General features: G+C 40.0%; 1 protein-coding gene across 4 annotated transcripts in view, besides 1 other annotated feature; it reads left to right on the top strand.

The window, feature by feature from the left end:
- Positions 1-21,368, top strand: part of UNC5C (unc-5 netrin receptor C) — a 386,470-nt gene that overhangs the window by 273,850 nt on the left and 91,252 nt on the right. The window lies entirely within an intron of this gene.
- Positions 19,412-19,706: a silencer, noted in NCBI's record as "tiled region #12130; K562 Repressive DNase matched - State 5:Enh". NCBI's record gives its function as "represses a minimal TATA promoter and a strong SV40 promoter by Sharpr-MPRA in K562 cells {active_cell/tissue: K562}" and the evidence as "EXISTENCE:reporter gene assay evidence [ECO:0000049][PMID:27701403]".

The following is a 21,368-nucleotide window of genomic DNA, read 5'->3' as shown; positions in this document are numbered from 1 at the left end:
AACAACACTACCAAATAATTGGTTAATGAAACTATTTATAGCAAGTCATGGTGTACTGCTGCCCTTACCCTGATGTTTTGTTTTGTTTTGTTTTGTTTGACACGGAGTCTTGCTCTGTCATCCAGACTGGAGTGCAGTGGCGTGATCTTGGCTCACTGCAACCTCCACCTCCCGGGTTCAAGCAATTCTCATGCCTCAGCCTTCTGGGTAGCTGGAATTACAGGCGCACATCACCACGCATGGCTAGTTTTTGTATTTTTAGTAGAGACGGGGTTTCACTATGTTGGCCAGGCCGATCTCAAACTCCATGCCTTAAGTGATCTGCTTGCCTCAGCCTCTCAAAGTGCTGGGATTACAGGTGTGAGCTACCACGCCTGGCCCCTTACCCTGATCTTTAAAGCTACTATTGTTCATTCAGTCCTTATCAACTCAGGACACTAGACCAGCCCTTATATTTTCTCCCAAAGAGGAAATTTAGCCTGAGGCTACTCTTTGTAGGTCTTCTTTTCAGGGCCCAGGGAAAGAGTGTGACAAAGTAAGTCTCAGAGGAGGAAGAGGCCAACCGAGGACTCCTTATACTTCTTTAAGCCCTTTCCAATAAGAAAACAGGGGACCCTAGGGCTGAAGCACAAGAGTTTCAGAACTCTAGACTTGCCTGCTCCTTCGTCTGTTCTCCCTAAAGTCCTTTCTTTATATCTGGGGACTTTATTCCAAAGATTTAATAACTGCATGGCTTCCTTAGCACGAGAGCAGACTCTTGGGGGCCTAGCGCTCTATCAGATATAACCCTTTAGCCACCGGGTCACAGGGTATCCAGAAATCCCAGGGAGCCAGCCAGGGCCTGCGGGTGAGGGACACTCAGTAATTTAGCAACAGATACAGAACTGTTTCCACATCGAATACCTGGCATGGATGAACCAGTGTACCTGGCTAAATTGCAGCCCCCACATGCCACAATTTTATATAGCTCTGCCTACCGATTGTATTGAAATTTATCTGTTTACTCTTCTTCTTGCCTGACAAGCTCATGATGAAATAAGAAGCAAAAAGTTTTTTGTTCATGTTTTATCTCTAATGCCAGCAGGTTATAAGTCACTTAGCAGATTCTCTAAGTATATTTAACTAAATGACAGAAAGAGGCCCTGCTGGATGTGACATGGAGGCAGCACCTCAGGAGATGGAAAGCTCTAGAAAAAGGGTGTTTCTCGTCCCTGAAGATGCAATCCTATTGAGAGATCTTGGTGTGGGATGACAGACTCCATCAGTCTGAACCCTGAGGGCAAGGTTCCAAACCACTAGGACCAGGAACCAAGGCCACTGGGAGTGGGAGACACTTGAGTTCCAGGACTATAAGGGAGGTGTCAATAATAATATATAAATTTTCAAGTAAACCAGGTGAAAGAAAGAAAAACAAATCCCAGGAATACTCTAAAATGATATAGCTCAGTGTTTCCTTTAATAACACTTTTGTTAGGATCAAGCCAAAAATGTGATTGTTTTCTTCCATTTCTGGTGAGGCATTTGCCTTTCTTTCAACAGATAAACCTTCCCCCCATCTCCCTGAAGAAGCAAGAAAATTAATACACCCATGGAACTGGTGCTGGGTTATTCCACTAGCATAATAGCAGCACTCTATGAAATTAATCCTCTTTGCTCATTTTATTTTATGCCTAGAAAATGTTACTGTCACATGGAGAGCCAGAAATATATTCCGAGATGCTTTATCAGATTATCTCTTTTGGAGAGTACTAGGATCAAAACATCAATGGATACAAGATTTGTTGGCATGGCAGAAGGAGCAAAGCTGAATTTTTCTCTAAAACCTGTGATTTCTTTCACCTTTAACAAGGGGATAATTGCTTCTCTAATTATAATTGAGCTATTTCTCATAGGAGTTTAATTGGAGGAACAGGGCACAATGTTCAACTTATTGACCCAGTTGTGCTTAGAAACTGTCATCTTATTTATCAACATTTGCATCTCTAATTAGCAAGTAGGAAAATATGGGGTGAGGTGCAAAAGAATAGATTATTTTACTGAGTATAGTCGTGATAAACAGGGAACAGATTTTTTTAAGCTGATACTGACAGGGCAGAAAACTGGTGGCAGCTGGAGGCTCCGCCAAATGTGCAGCATCAGGTGGCTCTCCATCTAATTGATTATTCATATGGCTGCTGAACACTTTGTTTCATGAGTCCTTCACGTTTCCTTGCCATTCTTCCATAATAGGAACTTCATATTGATGAATTTCCATGCAGCTATATTGTCTCCAGAGTGGTGCTTTACACTCTTTTCAGGCAAAAGAGTTTAGAGAGGAAAGAAGAATCTGAATACTGGTTTGGAGGGAGATGTTGCTTTCAGTGCCCAGTAATTACCCATTGGAATTTTCTGCTACCACGTGTGTAGCTACAAGACAGAGTTTTGGTTATGATATGATTCTCAGCCTTGAAGACGGGTTTTCAAAAGTATTAGGTTCCCTTACTAGCAGTCAGCCTTCAAGCTTTGCTTTGGTCCAATCAACATTCGCCAAAGTCACCTCCTTATTATGATCATCCCATACTTTTTGGGGTGAAAAAGTATGGGAAAAATCCCATATTTTTTTCTGATATCTGCCTCTAATAGTTACACACAGAGATCACCACAAGCCCAGAAACACTGTAAGCCAAATTAAAATTGCAATAAGTTTAAGCAACATAAACATGCATTTTAAAGCAAAAGAAATAACAGATTTTATCTGACTTATTATACATCTGTGGCTTGATTTTTGCATGTACTTAGTGGTTGCTTTAAGCCTATAGTATAAAATGCAGATTTCTAAAAATCATCAATTCACTTATATAAGAAAGATTTACTGCAGATGCATGGTATGCCAGACATTTTTCTGGTTGTAGGAAATACGAGTCAGTTAAGTCCCTCGAGGAGAAAAACAATAAGCAAGAATGTAAGAAAAATGAGTGAGATATTTTCAGATAATTACAAGTTAAAGGAAATTACACAAGGTCATATGAGAGAGGGTGATGGTTGTTGGGGATTGCGGATGACTTTAGAATTCAAGGAAAGTCTATTGAAGAGACAGTAATGGAGCTGAGATCTGAAGGTAAGGAAGGAGCTAGTCTTGAAAAGATCTGAGTAAGAAAGCTCCAGGTGATGGGAGCAACAAGGACAAGTACCCTCAGGAGGAGGTGATTGGTTACAGGGTTAAAAAGGAGGCCAGTGTGTCTGAGACCCAGTGAGCAAGGAGGAAGGCAGGACGACATTCAGTCAGGAAAGAGGGAACGAGGGCGCAGACTTGCAGAGACGGTAAGTGATTTGGAGTTTTCTTTAAATGCCTGAAAAGCCAATGGAGACATTAAGGAATTGTCGAGACCTGACATTCACCTTTAAAAGATCATTCTGGTTGCTGCATGGAAAATAGATTTTAGAAGTGCAAGAATGGATTTAGGGACACCTTTATGGGTTTATTTAATGATGAAAATCTAGAAAATATTTAGTCTTTCAGAAGAAACTGAAATGTTCCATGTGGAAGTTCAGCAGACCCACCAGAATGAGCTTTATTCAGATGACCTAAGATCAATGGTTAATAAACCTCAGCTGTGGCCGGGCGCGGTGGCTCACGCCTGTAATCCCAGCACTTTGGTAGGCCGAGGCGGGCGGATCACGAGGTCAGGAGATCGAGACCATCCTGGCTAACACAGTGAAACCCCGTCTCTACTAAAAAACACAAAAAAATTAGCCGGGCGTGGTGGCGGGCGCCTGTAGTCCCAGCTACGCGGGAGGCTGAGGCAGGAGAATGGCGTGAACCCAGGAGGCGGAGCTTGCAGTGAGCCGAGATCGCGCCACTGCACTCCAGCCTGGGCGACAGAGCGAGACTCCGTCTCAAAAAAAAAAAAATAAATAAAAAATAAACCTCAGCTGTGTTCGAGCACGGTCTCTATCTCAGTAGAGATTCAGCAGCAGGCAAAGACCTAACCTGTGCCCATAGTCACAGAGCAGGAGGGTTTTCAAAAATTTTTGTTGGCCTTCATTTGTTCAAAAAAGGTTTTTCTTCAATAAGTTCCCTTGCTTTGGGATTTCTTCCAATAATTTTTATATGCCTACACACACTATCATAAACTCATTATGGAGTCAGAGAGAGCAAAAAGCATGTATTTTTCTACAGATGGTCAGACTTAGCTATAGACCTGAACACTTTTAACTGGTAAATAAGAAGAAAGGCTGAGAGTTACTTATCCTGAAAGGCAAGTTTATAGTAAAAACTGGTTAGGAACTAGCTACAGATTAGTCAATTTGTTGCCCTTTTGCCCTGTAAAAGTTAGCCTTTTACGGACACTTCAATGACATTTTGTTCCCTTGGATGGTGTTATTACATATAGTCATTTTACTTTAGGTTTTGGTTATTTTATTTTATTTGGTTGTTGTTGGTATTAGTTCATTTGTCATCATGCTTTTATCTCCTCATAGTTGAACTTAGGTTTTAGAAGTTTTCAGATTTCAAGACAAGTTCACCTCTGCAATATGGCCTATGTATGTTCAACCCTCAAAAGCAATAAGCTAGACATATGTGCAATTAAGAGAGTGTTTCCCCAGCAGGAAAACAAATTCCCTTTCTTGGCAAATGCCTTTCCTTTACAGAAGTAACAACAACTGAGCAAAATGCCACTAGTTTCCACTTGGTATTTTTATCCTTTGGCTATATTTTTTACCATTGTCTAAAGATATAATTTCAGCTTGCTTAAAGACCAACATTTTTTTTAAAGCACAAAAATACCCAGACTTGCACAAACCTACTGAAAGGTGCAAAGTATATTTCACAGTGGTCAACACAGAAGTGAATGGATACTTGTTTTTTTCCAAAACTGAGAAGCAAAAATCTACAAAGTAGCCTCTGGTTTTTAGCAAGAGAGAACATCCAGCATAATTATCCACAGTAGAGAACTTTTTTGATTGTTTAAAGCACCTACAAGGGAAGGTGAGATACCTTTCACCAGTGGGAGAAATAAGAAAATAATAGTAGGACTTCAAACTCCGGAGCAATTAGAGCCAAACCTACCTGTGAAAGTCTACAGAAGAGTATTAGCTATCAATGTCTTTTAGAATTGTCAAGGCTTTGGCCAGGTACGGGGGCTCACACCTGTAATCCCAGCACTTTGGGAGCCTGAGGCAGGTGGATCACCTGAGATCAAAAGTTTGAGACCAGCCTGACCAACATGGTGAAATCTCATCTCTACTAAAAAAAATACAAAATTAGCCGGGCGTGGTGGTGCATGCCTGTAATCCTAGCTACTTGGGAGGCTGAGGCAGGAGAATCACTTGAACCCAGGAGGCAGAGGTTGCAGTGAGCTGAGATTGCACCATTGTACTCCAGCCTGGGCAACAAGAGTGAAACTCGGTCTCATTTAAAAAAAAAAAAAATTGTCAAGGCCTTGCTATTCTAACTGTGGTACATAGATTATCTACATCAACACGATCTAGGAGCTTAGAATCTCAGACCCAGAACTCTTAATGAAAATCTTAGCAAGATCATCAAACCAGTCTTCACCAGGCACAGTGGCTCATAACTGTAATCTCAGCAGTTTGGGAGGCCAAGGCAGTAGGATCACTCGAGCCTAGGAGTTCAAGACCAGCCTGGGCAATGTAAGAGAACCCCAACTCTACAAAAAATAAAAAAATAAAAATTAGCCAGGCATGGCGGTGTGTGCTACTCCAGGAACTGAGGTGGCAGGATCACTCGAGCCTGGGAGGTCGAAGCCACAGCTGCAGTGAGCCGTCATCACACCACTGCACTCCAGCTGGGGTAACAGAGCAAGACCCTGTCTCAGAAAACAAACAAACAAACAAAACCACTCTGCAGTACTGGTTCTCAGAAGTGGAGGCACAGTGGAATCACCTGGGAATTGTTAGAATCTACCAATGCTTATATCCCACCCAGAGATTCTGATTTAATAGACATGATATATAGCCAGGTTATCGAGATTTTTTAAAGCTCTCCATGTGATTCTAAAATGCAGTTTGAAAAGCTCTGGTGTAAAGGACAAAGTTAAAACAAACAAATACACAAAAACGTCAGATTTGTCACTTCCAAACCAGTCAGTAAAACTTGGCAGATTCCCAGCTACTAGCTAATGCTCCTTGGAGAAGCTTGGCTTGGCTGAGTGTACATTTGATAATAGCCCCATAATTGCTTTTCCCATTTGTTTGATTAATGTACCTATAGACAAGGATTCTAGGCTAAATCTCCATTCTTTTAGGTGTGCACACAGTTCTCAACTCTGCTATATCATTTTCAACCTGTGCTCTGACTTGATGGGCCTCAGTATGAGTTTAACAGAGTAACCTTTCTGATAGACGTGGAGTTTTCTAGCTAATGCTTGCTGGACTCACTTTTCATGTTGGGTGGCATGTGGCAGTTTCCCTCTGTTAATTAGAACAAATGTGCCAATTATGTTAACGTTTCTCCCGATACCAATCAGTGAATAATTAGACACAACACATCTGTCTTTCACAGGAGAGTATAATAAGAAAACTGCAAGATGTTTTGCTCTCTATTATTGACATATATGATTAGACAATTCCTTAACCAATCATAGGGTTAACAAGTTTGTGTATCAGAAGGGCAAAGGATGCCAAAAGTGGTTTTTGGAGCTGAGAACCTCTCATTGTTAGCATGGTCCTGACCAAAGTCCACCTATCTCTGAAGTATCTCTGCAAAGAATTTAATTGGTCTTTCCTTCCTTTTTAACAACAACAAAACATTACATTGCCCTTTTGGTAAAATGCAGGGATGTTGTTTATTTATCCTGAACTAAAGAAATAAACAAGTTCTTAGGTATTTGAAACCCTTAAAAAGTCAACTTTATGTAAAAGGTTACACTAAAAGAAATCACAGGCCGGGCGCGGTGGCTCACGCCTGTAATCCCAGCACCTTGGGAGGCCGAGCGGGTGGATCACGAGGTCAGGAGATCGAGACCACGGTGAAACCCCGTCTCTACTAAAAAAAATGCAAAAAATTAACCGGGCGCGGTGGCGGGCGCCTGTAGTCCCAGCTACTCCGGAGGCTGAGGCAGAAGAATGGCGTGAACCTGGGAGGCGGAGCTTGCAGTGAGCCGAGATCGCGCCACTGCACTCCAGCCTGGGTTACAGAGCAGAACTCCGTCTCAAAAAAAAAAAAAAAAAATCACAAAATTCAGCCTACAGGATCATATTGAAGGTGTTATAAACATGTAAATCAGAATCAGATTATAATTTGTTATAATTTCTACTTATATGTTTCCATGATATATGAACTTTGGAGCATTCTGATTGATGGGGAAAAAATGATTTTTTTTTTGTATTGTTATTTACTGGCATTTGCATCCCATACTTGGCAAGGCTTTAGAAAGAGATGGGGTTATAGTCCAATTATTTCATAATATAAGCAGTGCCTGCTTGTATTGATTCTAAAAGTATAAGGAAGACACTTATAAAATCAACACATTAGTCTTCTTGAAGATAGTCAAAGTGTATCAGAAGATAAAGCTTTTTGTTTCATTTGGAATTAAAAGTCTATACCTTCTGCCGACTATGGCTCACATTCCTAAATGCTTAATGATATTCAGCTATGTATTTGTATCATCTAAAGGTGCAACATCATCCTTTCTTATCATAATGTCTATATTATTGTGATTACAAATATATTCTCCCTCTTGTTAGAAACAGAAAATAAGACTTGAATGTCAGATTATAAATTTTTTTCTTACTGTGACACTAATTTGCTTATTTTAAAAAGGAACAACTCAGAAAATACATTAAATATATTGGAAAATAGCTATGATTACTACTCCTAGTGTCAGACATTCCAGGAAACCCCCAAATATATGAATCACCCTGGGACACATTCCTTCTGCCCAGGGCATTGTGAAGAATGCAGCACTGAGGGAGAGGCCATAGTTGTCCTTTTTTAAAATTATATCACTTTGCCCCAGATATTTGTCTTCTGTTTTTTAATAGTAAAACATGAGCATAGTTATAATTCTAAAACTTTTGATAGCAAACCATGAGAAAAATTATTGGAAATAAGTATTGTTTGGAAAATAACTGTCTTATCTAAATGGGGTCCCATTATATACACTCTAAATACAAGAACATTGGAATCTGTCTTTGGTAGCTTCATTTTTATCATGTTTAATAATAAAGATGAGAGGGGAGTGAATGGAAGTGAGAAAATGACTACGGAAAGTCAAGATAAAACTGGATTATAACTTATCCCATATTTAGTGACCAGCTATAAATGGATAATCCACTGGAAAATTTAATCCATATTTCTCTGTCTTTGCTGATACTGTAAATAAATAAAAATTTAAACTGAAGAATAAAGTATTTAGGAAAGAGGTAACAGAGCATTTTTGAAATGTGAGGGTTGCTGAATGCTGGAGTTGCTACTCAAAAGAAATTATGGAAGCCTGAGCCATTGAAAAATGATCTCCTTGTTTTGCTACAAAACTTCTCTTTCCCTGACAGGACTTAGGCAGCCAATGGTTCTGACTATTATAAAATAGCAGTAACAGCGAAACTATAAAACCATGAGTCTAGGAGCTATAAAAAGTTGCTCCTTAAATCACACTGCACACAAGTAGGGATGGCAGTTTTATACACCTTTTCTGGGAACATACCATATACTGTCAATATGCTCTAGTCCTAAAAATTGTAATCAAATTAGGAATCATTCATATTCGTTAATAAAATCATGTTAGTATTTTGAGAACACTGTACCAGACTGAAGGCGTCAGTAGAATTGAATGACCTCACTGTTGGAGGGATTTCTAAACACTTTCTCCTTCTACTGCAAGAGCTGGAATTGGTCCCCATGTAGAAAGGCTAGAGATATGACATCTCTTCTGTACATACACTAGCAGGGATTGAGGCTGTAAATAAGACGACACTTTCCTCACTGGGAGTGTTTTATGTATGAAGACTCATAAACCACTACCTATAGTCCTGTGCAGTGGTAAATTGAAAGTCAGATTTCTTTCAGGTGTTTTTTTGGAAGATATTATTAATTTGGTATTATGAATTTGAAGATATGTACATGTACTTCTTAATAGAGACACTAAGAGGCACTGAATCATCATTGTTTAAAATACATTTAGGTAGGTATAGCTTTGTGTAGGGTCAAGTTAGTTCTAGGGAAGAGGCAATTAAATTACACTTATTGACTGTCTCCTAATTCCAGGTGCTTTCTTTTCGTATCTCATTTAAATCCCCCTACAACCCCAGGAGGGATGCACCCTCCATTTGTACAGGTGAAGATTATGATTCTGGGAGCTTATAGCCTGCGCAAGGCTGCAAGCTCAATTAGTGGGAGGGCTGGGATTCAAAGCCAACTCTGCCTGACTCCAAAGCACTGTTTTCCTTATAACAAAAAAAAGTTTTTTTGACTGTATGTTTTCAAAATTTGGTTCATTATAATGACACAAATTGTCTGTGTGATCTCATTTGATAATTTTCATAAGCTAATCAGATAAACCCCAGGCAAATATGTATTTGGGGAGAAGTCATTCATTTAAAAAGTGTCACATCCATCTCATCAATTTTCTAAAAGTAGAGAAAGCACATTTCATTGTGTTGTGTGTTATTATTTATACACACTTCATAAATAATGAAAATTTTTAGAAATTTTTGAATGGAAAAGAGAAATTCAACTCCAGCATCCATTAATGATTTTATTATTGAAGAAGAATAAGACTGGAGGACAAAGTTTATAGAGAGAAGGCCAATGTGAGGAGATATTGTGATGGATTCACACCTATTGCAGTGTGAATCGATCACATCATATTCAGCACTTATTATGTTTTTTTTGTATTTGTTGAGCATCCAGATGGAATTATCTAAAAAGTAATTGGAAGTATGAATAGAGCTTAAGAAAAGTTGGGACTGAAGATAACGATTTGTGAGTTGTCAGCCTTGAGAGTGAATAAAGTCACTCAACCAGTGCATATCTCATTCTCAAACCTGGCTGCACATTGAGGTCACCTGAGGAGTTTTTACACTGATTCTTGGGCCCTTTGTCTGCCCAATTAAATAAGAACCATTGAAGGTGGGGCCCCAGGCATCAGGATGGCTTAAGCGCTCCCCAGGTGATTCTGATGCAGGACAAAGGACCATGATATAAAGTAGAAGGAGGAGAAAATGAGAGAGAGGGAGATCCTTGAGAAGGACTATATGAAAATGCTGGATGTTATAAAAGGACCAGTGAAAGAGGTTTGCAAAAGAACAGATAATCAAGTGGCAGGAAAGACAGCAGAGGGAGGCTTTTCAGAGGGACAGTGGAGCTGTTTGCCATAGAGAAGAGAAGATGCCTTTGGATTTAGCAACGAGAAAGGCCACTGATCACCTTTGAAAGTGAAGTTTGAGTAGAGTGGGGATCAGGAATCCAGACATGGCTAAATGGAAGAGTGAATGAGCAGGTGCATAGAGAGGGATTGGGAATATTTCACTCTTTCAAGGAGTTTAGCCACTAAGGGAAAGAGAAGTCTGAAGCATAGCTGGGGAGGGTGGGTGTGTCAGGCTTAATTTTGTTGTTGGTTTGTTTTTAGGTTAGAAGAGATGCAGGCATGTTTCTGTATTACTTGAGACTCAAAGAAAGAGCATTGGGGGAGTTGATATCTTTTGGACTATTCAGTTTGTTGAAACAGACATATGCCATCTGCTCAGATTAAGGAAAATTACAAAAATATTGAGTACTTTGTTGGTGACCCAGGGTCTCAACAAGCCTACGAGGACAAATATTAGAAAGTTACCAGTGAGTGAATTTCTGAGTGCAAGATTTCAATTGGGCATGGTCTTCAGAGTGGCATGTAAACCTTCAAGTTCATGTCTTCTGAATAAACTTTCTCCTTTTTCCTAGTTGCTAACACGTTTCAGCTGAAGTAGGATGACCCTATTTTTGTTGGTCTTTCATTGATTGTTGAATAAAGACTCACAATGTGAAGATTGTTCCTTACAGAATTATATCACACTGTTGCTCAGCATCCTCACCCCAGAGCATATTGCCTGAGAAAGAAACAAACCACAGTGTTCAGTTATGCTGAACACTGTGAGTTCTAGCATCTGGAAATGTATAAATAGATGGTGTCTTTAGGACAGAATTTAATGGAAAATGTATCCATTGAAAATATTTTTAAGTATCTCTTATTTTATGCTAGATATCATTCTTCCCTGTTTACTAAACTTTTATCTTAGTTTGTAAGTTATTTAAAGTAATAAGGACATGTTGTAGAATAAATTATTTACTATGTGAAGAAATCACCATAACACCAGCTCAGAGTTATACAGAAGTCATCAAAAGTGCTTTGACATATAGTATCCTTTTCAAACCTCACAAGAACCTTATGAGGAAGTTAGGACAGATATTACTTTTCTTGTTGTAGAAGTAGAAAAATAAGGTTGAGTGATTTTATGTGACTTGCTGAAGAGCATAGACTCAGTGAATGGCACAGCTGGGTCCTATCTCTAGGCTTTTGGCCTTGAGACTTGAGTGTCTTTTGGCAAAATCTCACTGGGCTTCTGTGAAAGTGCAGCATAAACACAACTGCAGAGGCATCCAGGAGACATATTTGGAGAGTTCCATTCACTGACCTCCAACTCCCACTCCTATTACCCTGTTCTTTAGTCTTCCCAGTTCTCAGCCTTCCTCATTCTCCCCTGGTAGAATTTCTTGCTTGGTAACAGAACCACTATCCTCTCATGCCTTTGTGAAGTGCTCTTTAAAATTTTTGCTAGCATATCCCTAAAAGACTTAAAAAATACATATCTCCTTGCACATTTTATGTTGGTATCTAAAAAATATTATCAAAAAAATTAAATAGTGGGAAAAGATGCCATGTCTGTGTATATTATAAACATTTGACATCTTTAAAAAGAATTGTTGACTTAAAGTTATCCAATGGAATGCAGACACCATAATGATGTCTTACTCAACATTACCGATTAAGAAAATGTAAGAACAAACTCTTCTTTAATAGTAGGAAAACTTGCCAGGCACAATGGCTCACACCTGTAATCCCAGCACTTTGGGAGGCCGAGGCAGGTGGATCAACTGAGGTCAGGAGTTCGAGACCAGCCTGACCAACATGGAGGAACCCCCGTCTCTACTAAAAATACAAAATTAGCCAGGCATGATGGCACATGCCTGTAATCCCAGCTACTTGGGAGGCTGAGGCAGGAGAATTGCTTGAACCCGGGAAGCAGAGGTTGCGGTGGGCCAAGATCACGCCATTGCACTCCAGCCTGGGCGACAGAGTGAAACTCCATCTCAAAAAAAAAAAAAATAGGGAAACTTACAGTATTCCTTTTTCTATTTTAACTTATATTTCTATGCCATTTCCCCCATAGGTTTTTACTCTAATAGAATAAATTTTAGGCATAAAAATTTCCATTGGTCATCATATTTCTCTGTAATAAAAATTTGCGTATAAACTTTATCTCCTTTGACCATAGGGATCAAATTGTTAATTTTTTTTAAAAAACCCAAATGTACTACAAGTTTTGATAAATAATTACTTGGCATAAAGACTGAATTTTTATTGGAAATACAGCTTTTAATAGGAGAAATGAGGTTTTCATCCCTGCTCGCCTGTCTAGGTAGCTCATTTAGCCTAGTTTGAATGCTACTGCTGAAATGAAACAGGATGAAATCAATTACATTTCTATCTGTCATTTATAATGAATTCAAATACTGAGAACCTTCTCATACATAAGTAAGTAGAAATACGTGGACTTATGTTGTAACAGTGTCCCTCAACTCTGCACGTCTTCCAAGTTACAGGTCAAAAATTACATAGCGATCTGTCATCAAAATTTATGTTCAGTGACCCATCATTTGACATATTAGGCCCTCCTTCAGTTTTGATGAAAGCAAAGAATTTAAACCACCTGATTTGCAAAAAGGATTTGTCGCCCAGTTATTACAGTCCCTTATTTTCTCAACTACAACACTAATATTCCCAATTATTCCCTTATCTGGTGCCCTAGAGGTTTTTACACTCTCATGTAATATATGATGGCAAGATTTTCATGCAAAAGATGTCTTTCTTCTGAAAAGCAGAGGGCAAGTTCTTAGAGATATTAGTTATAAGAAGGAATGCAGACTGGGCGCAGTGGCTAATGCCTGTAATCCAGCACTTTGGGAGGCTGAGGCCGGCAGATCATGAAGTCAGGCAATCGAGACCATCCTGGCTAACACGGTGAAACCCCATCTCTAGTAAAAATAGAAAAAATTAGCTGGGCATCGTGGCATGCCCCTGTAGTCTCAGCTACTCAGGAGGCTGAGGTAGGAGAATTGCTTGAACCCAGGAGGCAGTTGTTGCAGTGAGCTGAGATCGCGCCACCGCACTCCAGCCTGGGCGACAGAGCGAGACACCGTTTCAAAAAAAAAAAAAGGAATTCATATGGAAGTTAAAGATATACTGTGATTCCCTTAAAAATATTTTTGTTTGTATATCTCTTAGAAATTTTTGCATAGTGCTGGATACTTGAATCCAGCCCTATCTTGAAATCCTAGCACCCTGAACTCCTCTTTATCTGCAGTGTTCCCTTAGTTATTTATATGCCATGTTTTAGGAAACTTTATATGATTTAGTTTGTTATTTCTCCAGGTCATTTACATGTGAAGAGATCCTTCTAATAGTGGAATTTAAAATTGGTCTCTCTTAATGACATTTCAAGTCATTGTCAAAAATTTGGGGGAGCAATTTTGGAGGGTAAGGAGGCTTTCCTGATGCCCCTAAAATCAAAGCACACCCAATTCTACTGCTAGTTCTGAAAGTAAACCTGTATTGGTCCTATGAGTGACAGGGTCATGTTGATAACAGAAAGTGTGTCCAATGCTTCTTTTCTAAGGACCTCTCTGCTTCCCTGGGGACACCAGCCTGAGGACAGCCTCAACCCAAGTCCTGGAGTAGCTAAAATGTATGTGTCTTGGTGTCCCAGCTTTTTCCAGCCCCTATCTCGTAATCTGCAGCCCACTCTGTCAAGGCTGAAGTCTGTAGCACTGTAGTTGGCTCCTCCTGGTTCTTGGTTTTATGGACAGAAAAGAGTCCAGAGCTCAGGCGGTCCTGAATTTGGATCTCTGCTCCTTTCTGAGCTTATAAACCTGTGCAAGCTCTTCTCTGTGAGCATCATTCTTCTCATCTGAAAATTGGGAATGCAACTACTTCTTTCACAGGCTGCTGTGAGGAGGAATCACTAAGTACAAAGCACCTCGCTGGGGACCTGGAATGCACCATACAAGCTTCTTGTTTTTCTCCTTTTTTACCCTTGGGCAACTTCTCTCCATTCCTCCCAACTGCTTCTCTGTCGTCCCAATTTCAGCACAAGGAAAATGTTCTTCTTTTGAACTCTCTCTGCTCCCTAAAGCCAGGTCAGGATTCTCATGATTTGCATTAGGGAGTACAAGGTGCCCTCTTCCCCTCAAGGTCACATCCCCTACTTTTCCTACCCTAAAGAATGGTCATTATTCTTTAACACAGAATGTGTCCCATAATTTTCACTTCTCCTTTCCCATTAGACCAGCCCATCTGCCCCAGAATCCTTTCTGTGGGGAGAGAGAAAAGCAAAGAAGAGAGCTCAGGGACAACTATTCCATGTGTGTCATCAAAGCCATGGATCGAAGGCTGCTGGAGGTGGCAAGGTCACCAAGTCTGCCCAGAAAGCTCAGAAGGCTAAATGAATGTCATCCCTAATACCTGCCACCCCAGTCTTAATCAGTGGTGGGAGAATGGGCTCAGAACTGTTTGTTTCAATTGGCTGTTTAAGTTTAATGGTAAAAGACTGGTTAATGATAACAATGCATCGTAAAACCTTCAGAAGGAAAGGAGGCTGTTTTGTGGACTACTTTGGGGTTTTTTTGTTTCGTTTTGCATGTGGCAATTATTCGTTTTTAAAATCTATAGTTTTTAATGGAAACAACTTGACCAAAAATCTGTCACAGAATTTTGAGTCCCATGAAAACAAAGTTTAATGAGGAAAAAGATGGGGGACAGTCCCTTTTTGGGGACCAGTGCAGTCATAGGACCAACATAGGTGTACTTTCAGGGTGGTAGGGAAAGCAGAGGTGGCTGGAAGAAAATTCCATCTCTTAGGGACATGGATAAGGGTGTTGAAGCTAATGATGTGTATGCCATGGTATGGGGCTGAGAGACTGATGTCATTAAAAGAACAAGTAGACTGGCTTGAAGTACTAGGAGAAAAGAAATGGAAAACCCATAAAAGTAAATTAAAAATTATAAAAATATAGATGGTCTAGGTAAAAATAATAGTAATATAAATTGCCTATCATTTATGCCTCATTACCAAGTATGATAGTGAATATTTCTTTTATTTTAATAACCTGTGTTTCATTAAAAATCTTTTCTACTTATTTTTTTAAAACTGATAATGTTTTCTTATACTTTAGAATTAGAAAATAATTTTTATGAAGATTAATTAAAATGTTAATACCTATAAAGCAAATGCATGCTAATGACATCTCTAGAATTATAAACTCATAGAGTTTAAAGGAAAATATGTATTTAGGGTTAGCATACAAACAATATTGGCCAATTTAATACTCAATTACTTACATATTTGTAGTGCAATCTTGAAGAGTTATAACCTAATATTGAGTGGACTTTGCCCCACAGAAATGCCAGCGAAGGCTGAAAGGACTCAGGTGTTAAATATTTTTCTTCTAGTTTTTAGATTAACACCATTTCTCTTTTATTTTTTAGGGTTGTTTGGGGTTTGTCTCACCGCTTTTAGTATATCCTTAACTAAATGTTAATAATTATTTTCAAATACTTAACTGTATGCCAGACAGTAGGTGTCTTGTGTATTAATTCATTTAGTTTTTAAGAACCTTATAATGGGTTCTAAAATTATCCTCATTTTGTAAATGAGGACTCTAAGGCATACAGAAGATAAGACACTTGCCCACGGGAGACATAAACATTAGCTCCAAAATCGCAGAGTTCAGTTTTGGGCCCAAGCAGTTGAAAGCAGCCCTCTTAGCTGGTACTTTAGGAACTGCTCCTTAGAATAAGATGGTCGAGGCCGGGCGCGGTGGCTCACGCCTGTAATCCCAGCACTTTGGGAGGCCGAGGCGGGTGGATCATGAGGTCAGGAGATCGAGACCATCCTGGCTAACAAGGTGAAACCCCGTCTCTACTAAAAATACAAAAAATTAGCCGGGCGCAGTGGCGGGCGCCTGTAGTCCCAGCTACTCGGGAGGCTGAGGCAGGAGAATGGCGTGAACCCGGGAAGCGGAGCTTGCAGTGAGCCGAGATTGCGCCACTGCAGTCCGCAGTCCGGCCTGGGCGACAGAGCGAGACTCCGTCTCAAAAAAAAAAAAAAAAAAAAAAAAAAGAATAAGATGGTCGATTACACATAGTGGGACTAATAACACCAAACAACAGCAGAATAGGCAAACAGGTCATTCTAATATTGCCGTGTAACTGTTTTTAGTACCTGTTAATAAAATCCCATGCCTTTATAAACACTTGAGTAAATTAGTTCAAATATGCCCCAAATCATTGAAAGGACTATAGTTACTGAACCACAAGGACAGAAATTGTTTGAACATTATTTTGCATCATTGCAACCATGACAACAAGTCATGGTTTATGGTTGAAGTCTTTTATTGTTTTCTGAACTCCAACCTGTTTTTCTTTCTCTTGGAATATTTTTATGTAACTAAAAATAATTTCTAACTCAGAAAGACTACTTTCTTGTATAAATCAGTTTGTTCAATGGAAGGAGTAGAGAAAAGAGAAGCCTCAGGTTGAAATCAACAAAAAGCATTGAAATGACCAAAATATGAACAGAATTCAGTGGCCAGACCAGAGTACTGACTCCTGGTTAACCAAGATTAGCTTACAAATAAATAGCTTTGCAACAATATAATTAACTACATACTATTCAATGCAATAAATTTCTAACACAACAAAAGATTCTGTATTGTTTCTTGGAATTTTATATACAGTGTATATAAGGAGACTCATTGTGGAATTGTTTCACATGGAAGAATGTTAGTTTAGTAGTGTGTGTTCTGGAAATACTGCATGAAAAGGTTATATGTTTTAAATTGTATGTTATGGCTCTTATATTGATTTGCTGATTCAGACAATCCTTTACATGATAAACAGAATTATTCTCACACACTGTTTTCCTTTCCATTCATCTTCTAAGTTTTATTAACGCTTTATCATTTTTATCTAAGCCACAATGGTAATAAATGTTGTTGCAGCCATGCTGGCCCTGCAAATATCCTTTTTATCAATATCCATGTTCAGTTCTTAATGCTAAGATAAAGCTGATCCAAAAGAAGCAGAAGTCCTCAGGGTTATTTTTAAAAATTATTTCAAAACTTTAAGAGAAAAACTCACTTTGTTCATGGAAATAATGGGAATTTTTAGCAACTTACCTGTTGTCAAAATCATGCTGTGCTAGCTGGATTCCTTGTGAGATCAGCCAAATCTGAATCATTATCCTTTCTACCCTCAATTACTTTCTGCCTCCTGTATCCCTGCTCCGTAAATGGGTCCTTAAGCCAGAAATGGAAGATGAGTGCCCCTTGCACCCCCCTTTCCACATACCGTCAACTCATATGTCCTGTCCTCTGTCCCTTCCAATTATTGTCTGAATCCATTTTTTTTTTCTCCCTGTCTCCTATCCCTATGCCACTTTTTTCTTTTCTTTTCTGTTTTTTGGAGACAGTGTCTTGCTGTGTCACCCAGGCTGGAGTGCAGTGGTGCACTCATAGCTCTCTATATCCTTGACCTCCCAGGCTAAAGCCATCCTCCTGCCTTAGCCTCCCAAGTAGCTGCAAATACAAGCACATGCCCCATGCTCTACTAATTTTTGCATGTTTCTTATAGAGGTGTGGTCTCACTATGTTGTCCAGGCTGGTTGTAAGGACTTCAGCGCTGACACTGAGTAAGAGAAGGAGCCATTAGGAGGGTTTGAGATGAGGTATAGTGTGATGGTTGATAGTGAGTGTCAACTTGATTGGATTGAAAGATACAAAGTATTGATCCTGGGTGTGTCTGTGAGGGTGTTGCCAAAGGAAATTAACATTTGAGTCAGTGGGCTGGGAAAGGCAGACTCACTCTTAATCTGGGTGAGCACCATCTATCTAATCAGCTGCCAGCACAGCCAGGATAAAGCAGGCACAGAAACATAAAAAGTCTAGACTGGCCTAGCCTCCCAGCCTACATCTTTCTCCCTCAGCAGCACATTTAGCAAGCGTCCCATGCTGGACCCTTCCTGACCTCAAACATCAGACTCCAAACTCTTTAGTTTTGGGACTTGGATTGGCTCTCCTTGCTCCTTAGCTTGCAGAAGGCCTATCGTGGGACTTTGTAATCATGTGAGTTAATACTTAATAAACTCATATATATATATATATATATATTTATTTAGTTCTGTCCCTCTAGACAACTCTGACTCATACATATAGTATGCTCTGACTTACAGTTTATGGATCACTCTAACTACAGTCTTGAAAATAGACAGTTGAGTTTTCAGAGGAAAAGCAGAAGATAAGACAAACAGTGTTTGCAATAATTCAGGAAGGAAACGATAGTGACTTGGACCAGGAAGAGGTGGGAGTGAGGGAATGAGAAGTGGTCCAATTCCTAATGTGTGCTGCTCTAACATTGAATGGGCTAAGAAAGAGGAAAAAAGTGGTCAACACTAAGTCAGGCTTTTGTCTAAGTAATTGGAAGGCTACAGTTGGCATTAAGTGAGGTGCATAAGACTGTGAGAGGAGCAGGTTTGGAAAGGCGGTTCAGGAGGTCATTATCAGACAACCAAGTGGAGTTGCATGAAGACAGTTGGATATACGAGTCTGGAGATCAGCGGTGGGGTCTGGGCTGGAGATAAATTTAGGAGTCATCTGTGTGAGACTGGATGAGCTCACCAAGGAAGTGAATATGGATAGAAAATAGAAAGCAGCAGAATTCCAAGGACCGAGCCACAGGGACACAAATGTTAGCCTAAGGAAGCTGTGAGGCATGAAGCAATGTAGGACAAAACCCAGGAAAGTGTGCTGTCCAGAGAAAGCAAGTCAGGAGGAGGAAGGGAGTAACCGGATCACGTGCTGCTGTGAGTCAAGTAAGATGAGCACTAAGACCTCAGCAGCACATTTAGCAAAGAGAAAGGAGCAGCTATGGTGAAGCAGTGGAAGTGAACACAGATTAGAGCGGGCTCAGTGGGGAATTGAAGACAGCAAATGTAAACAACTATTCCAAGGAGTTTTGTAAGGCAGGGCAAGCAGAGAAATATAGGTGGTGGGCGGGGGGTGAGTAGAGGCAGAAACGGGTGAGAAGGGTTTTTGTTCTAAGTTTTGAAAGCTAACAGCACATCTGCAGGCTGGTGGAAATGATTCAGTATCAAGGGAAATTGAATAATTTAGGAGAGAAAGAAGAGAATTGCTGGGACTTGCCCTTGAATAGAAGAGCGAGACTAAGATACGGAGTACAAATCCGAGGTGACAGATAGGAACACAGAGAGCTCCCCCAGTGATAAGAGACAGGGTGCAGATGGGGGTGAGGACACAGATAGTGGGAGAGCCCTGGAAGATGTCTTGTGATTGTCAGTTTTCTCAGTGACATAGAAATCTTGGTCATCAGCTGAAAGTGAGGCTAGAAGGGGAGGTAGTGGAGAGGAGTGTGAAATAGTTATCTAGGAGAAGGAGAAAGTGAACAATGAAAACATAATGTGCTTTCTTGGCAGAAATAAAGGCCCACTTGTGATCTGTTATGAATTTTAAGATGAGCCCACTCTCCATGGCTATTTACACCCATGTTCCACCTCAAGAACACAGAGCGGGGTGCCGGGCATGGTGGCTCACACCTGTAATCCCAGCACTTTGAGAGGCCAAGGCAGGCAGATCACTTGAGGTCAGGAGTTCGAAACTAGCCTGGCCAACATGGTGAAACCCTATTTCTACTAAAAATACAAAAATTAGCCTGGCATGGTGGTGGGCACCTGTAATCCCAGCTACTCATGAGGCTAAGGCACAGGAATCGCTTGAACTCAGGAGGTGGAGGCTGGCTGCAGTGAGCTGAGATTGTACCACTGCACACGGTGAGACTTTGTCTTAAAAAAAAAAAACAAAAAACAACACACAGTGGTGTTGTAGGCAAATAGTGGCCAAGTGAATATCTTGAAGTGACAAAGGGATGAGAGCATTGACAGTATAATGCAAGAATCATATATAAAGCTAGACATTGGAATTTATACTTGAAAGTCTGAGAAACAAATTGGTAAATTCAATAGATTGTAGGTGCTGGTGAAGGATTATTGAATTCAGTATCTTAGAGTGAATAGGAAAGACAGAAAAGGGTAAAGGAAAGGATAATTGGAACTAAGTTTATGGAGGAGTTGTAATTGATGATAAGGACAAGAGCTAAATCATGCTTCTCAAACTTTAGTGTGGATATAACCCCCTGAAGTTCTTACTAGGATGCATATTTTGATTTGGTAATAGGTGGGCAGAGCCTTAGATTCTATATGTCTATCAAGCTCCCAGTGACACTGATGCTATTGATCCAGGGATTGCATTTTTAAGGGCAATGATCTAGACTGGTATTTCTCAACCCTAACAGTAAATTACAACCCTTGGGGAGCTTAAAACACACTGATGCTAGACCAGTGAATTGGAGTTTTTGTGGGTTGGATTTAGCTTCTCTGGGTTGAATTTAGAATTAATATATTACAAATGTTTTCCACATTATTCTATTGTGAAGCGGAGTTGAAAACCTTTGGCCTAGAATGTGTGACCTTAGAGGATAAGGTCATTGCAGGATGGAGGGTCATGGAACTGAAGGGCCAAGACGTTGGAAGCGTCACCTTTGTGGTTATTAAACTCTTCAGAAATTATGCTTTAGATAAAGTGACTATAAGCCCAGAGGTCTGTAAATAACTACAAACAAAAAAAGAGTCAAAATTGGGTGATATAATCTGGTGACATGAGATTCAAGGCAAAGATGTTTAGAGAGAACAGTCTGAAAGACACAATGCTGAGCAAGCACAGCACTTACCCATCCCCAGACCCAGTGGCACATTGGATTTGGGAAATCAACATCCACCCCTTCAGAGGACTTCAGAAGAAACAATGGCATCAGAAAGACCTAGACTTTAGTATGAGAAAAACGTAAAGGAAACAATCTAAAAAGAGACCAAAATGTTAGAAGATTTTCATGCTGTCTTCCAGGCGGTATGGAAGAGTGTCAGGACTTCTGGAGTTGGTGATGTGTAGCCCCTGGTATTACAGCACAGGAGGTGAGGGGCGGCCTGCAGTCCTCACTGAGCCTTTCATGGAGATGATTGTCTCAAAGCAGAGTGCTGTGATA

This window comes from Homo sapiens, chromosome 4 (assembly GCF_000001405.40).
Source record: "Homo sapiens chromosome 4, GRCh38.p14 Primary Assembly".
NCBI classification, from domain to species: Eukaryota; Metazoa; Chordata; class Mammalia; order Primates; family Hominidae; genus Homo; species Homo sapiens.
This window is presented reverse-complemented; position numbering and strand designations above follow the sequence as displayed.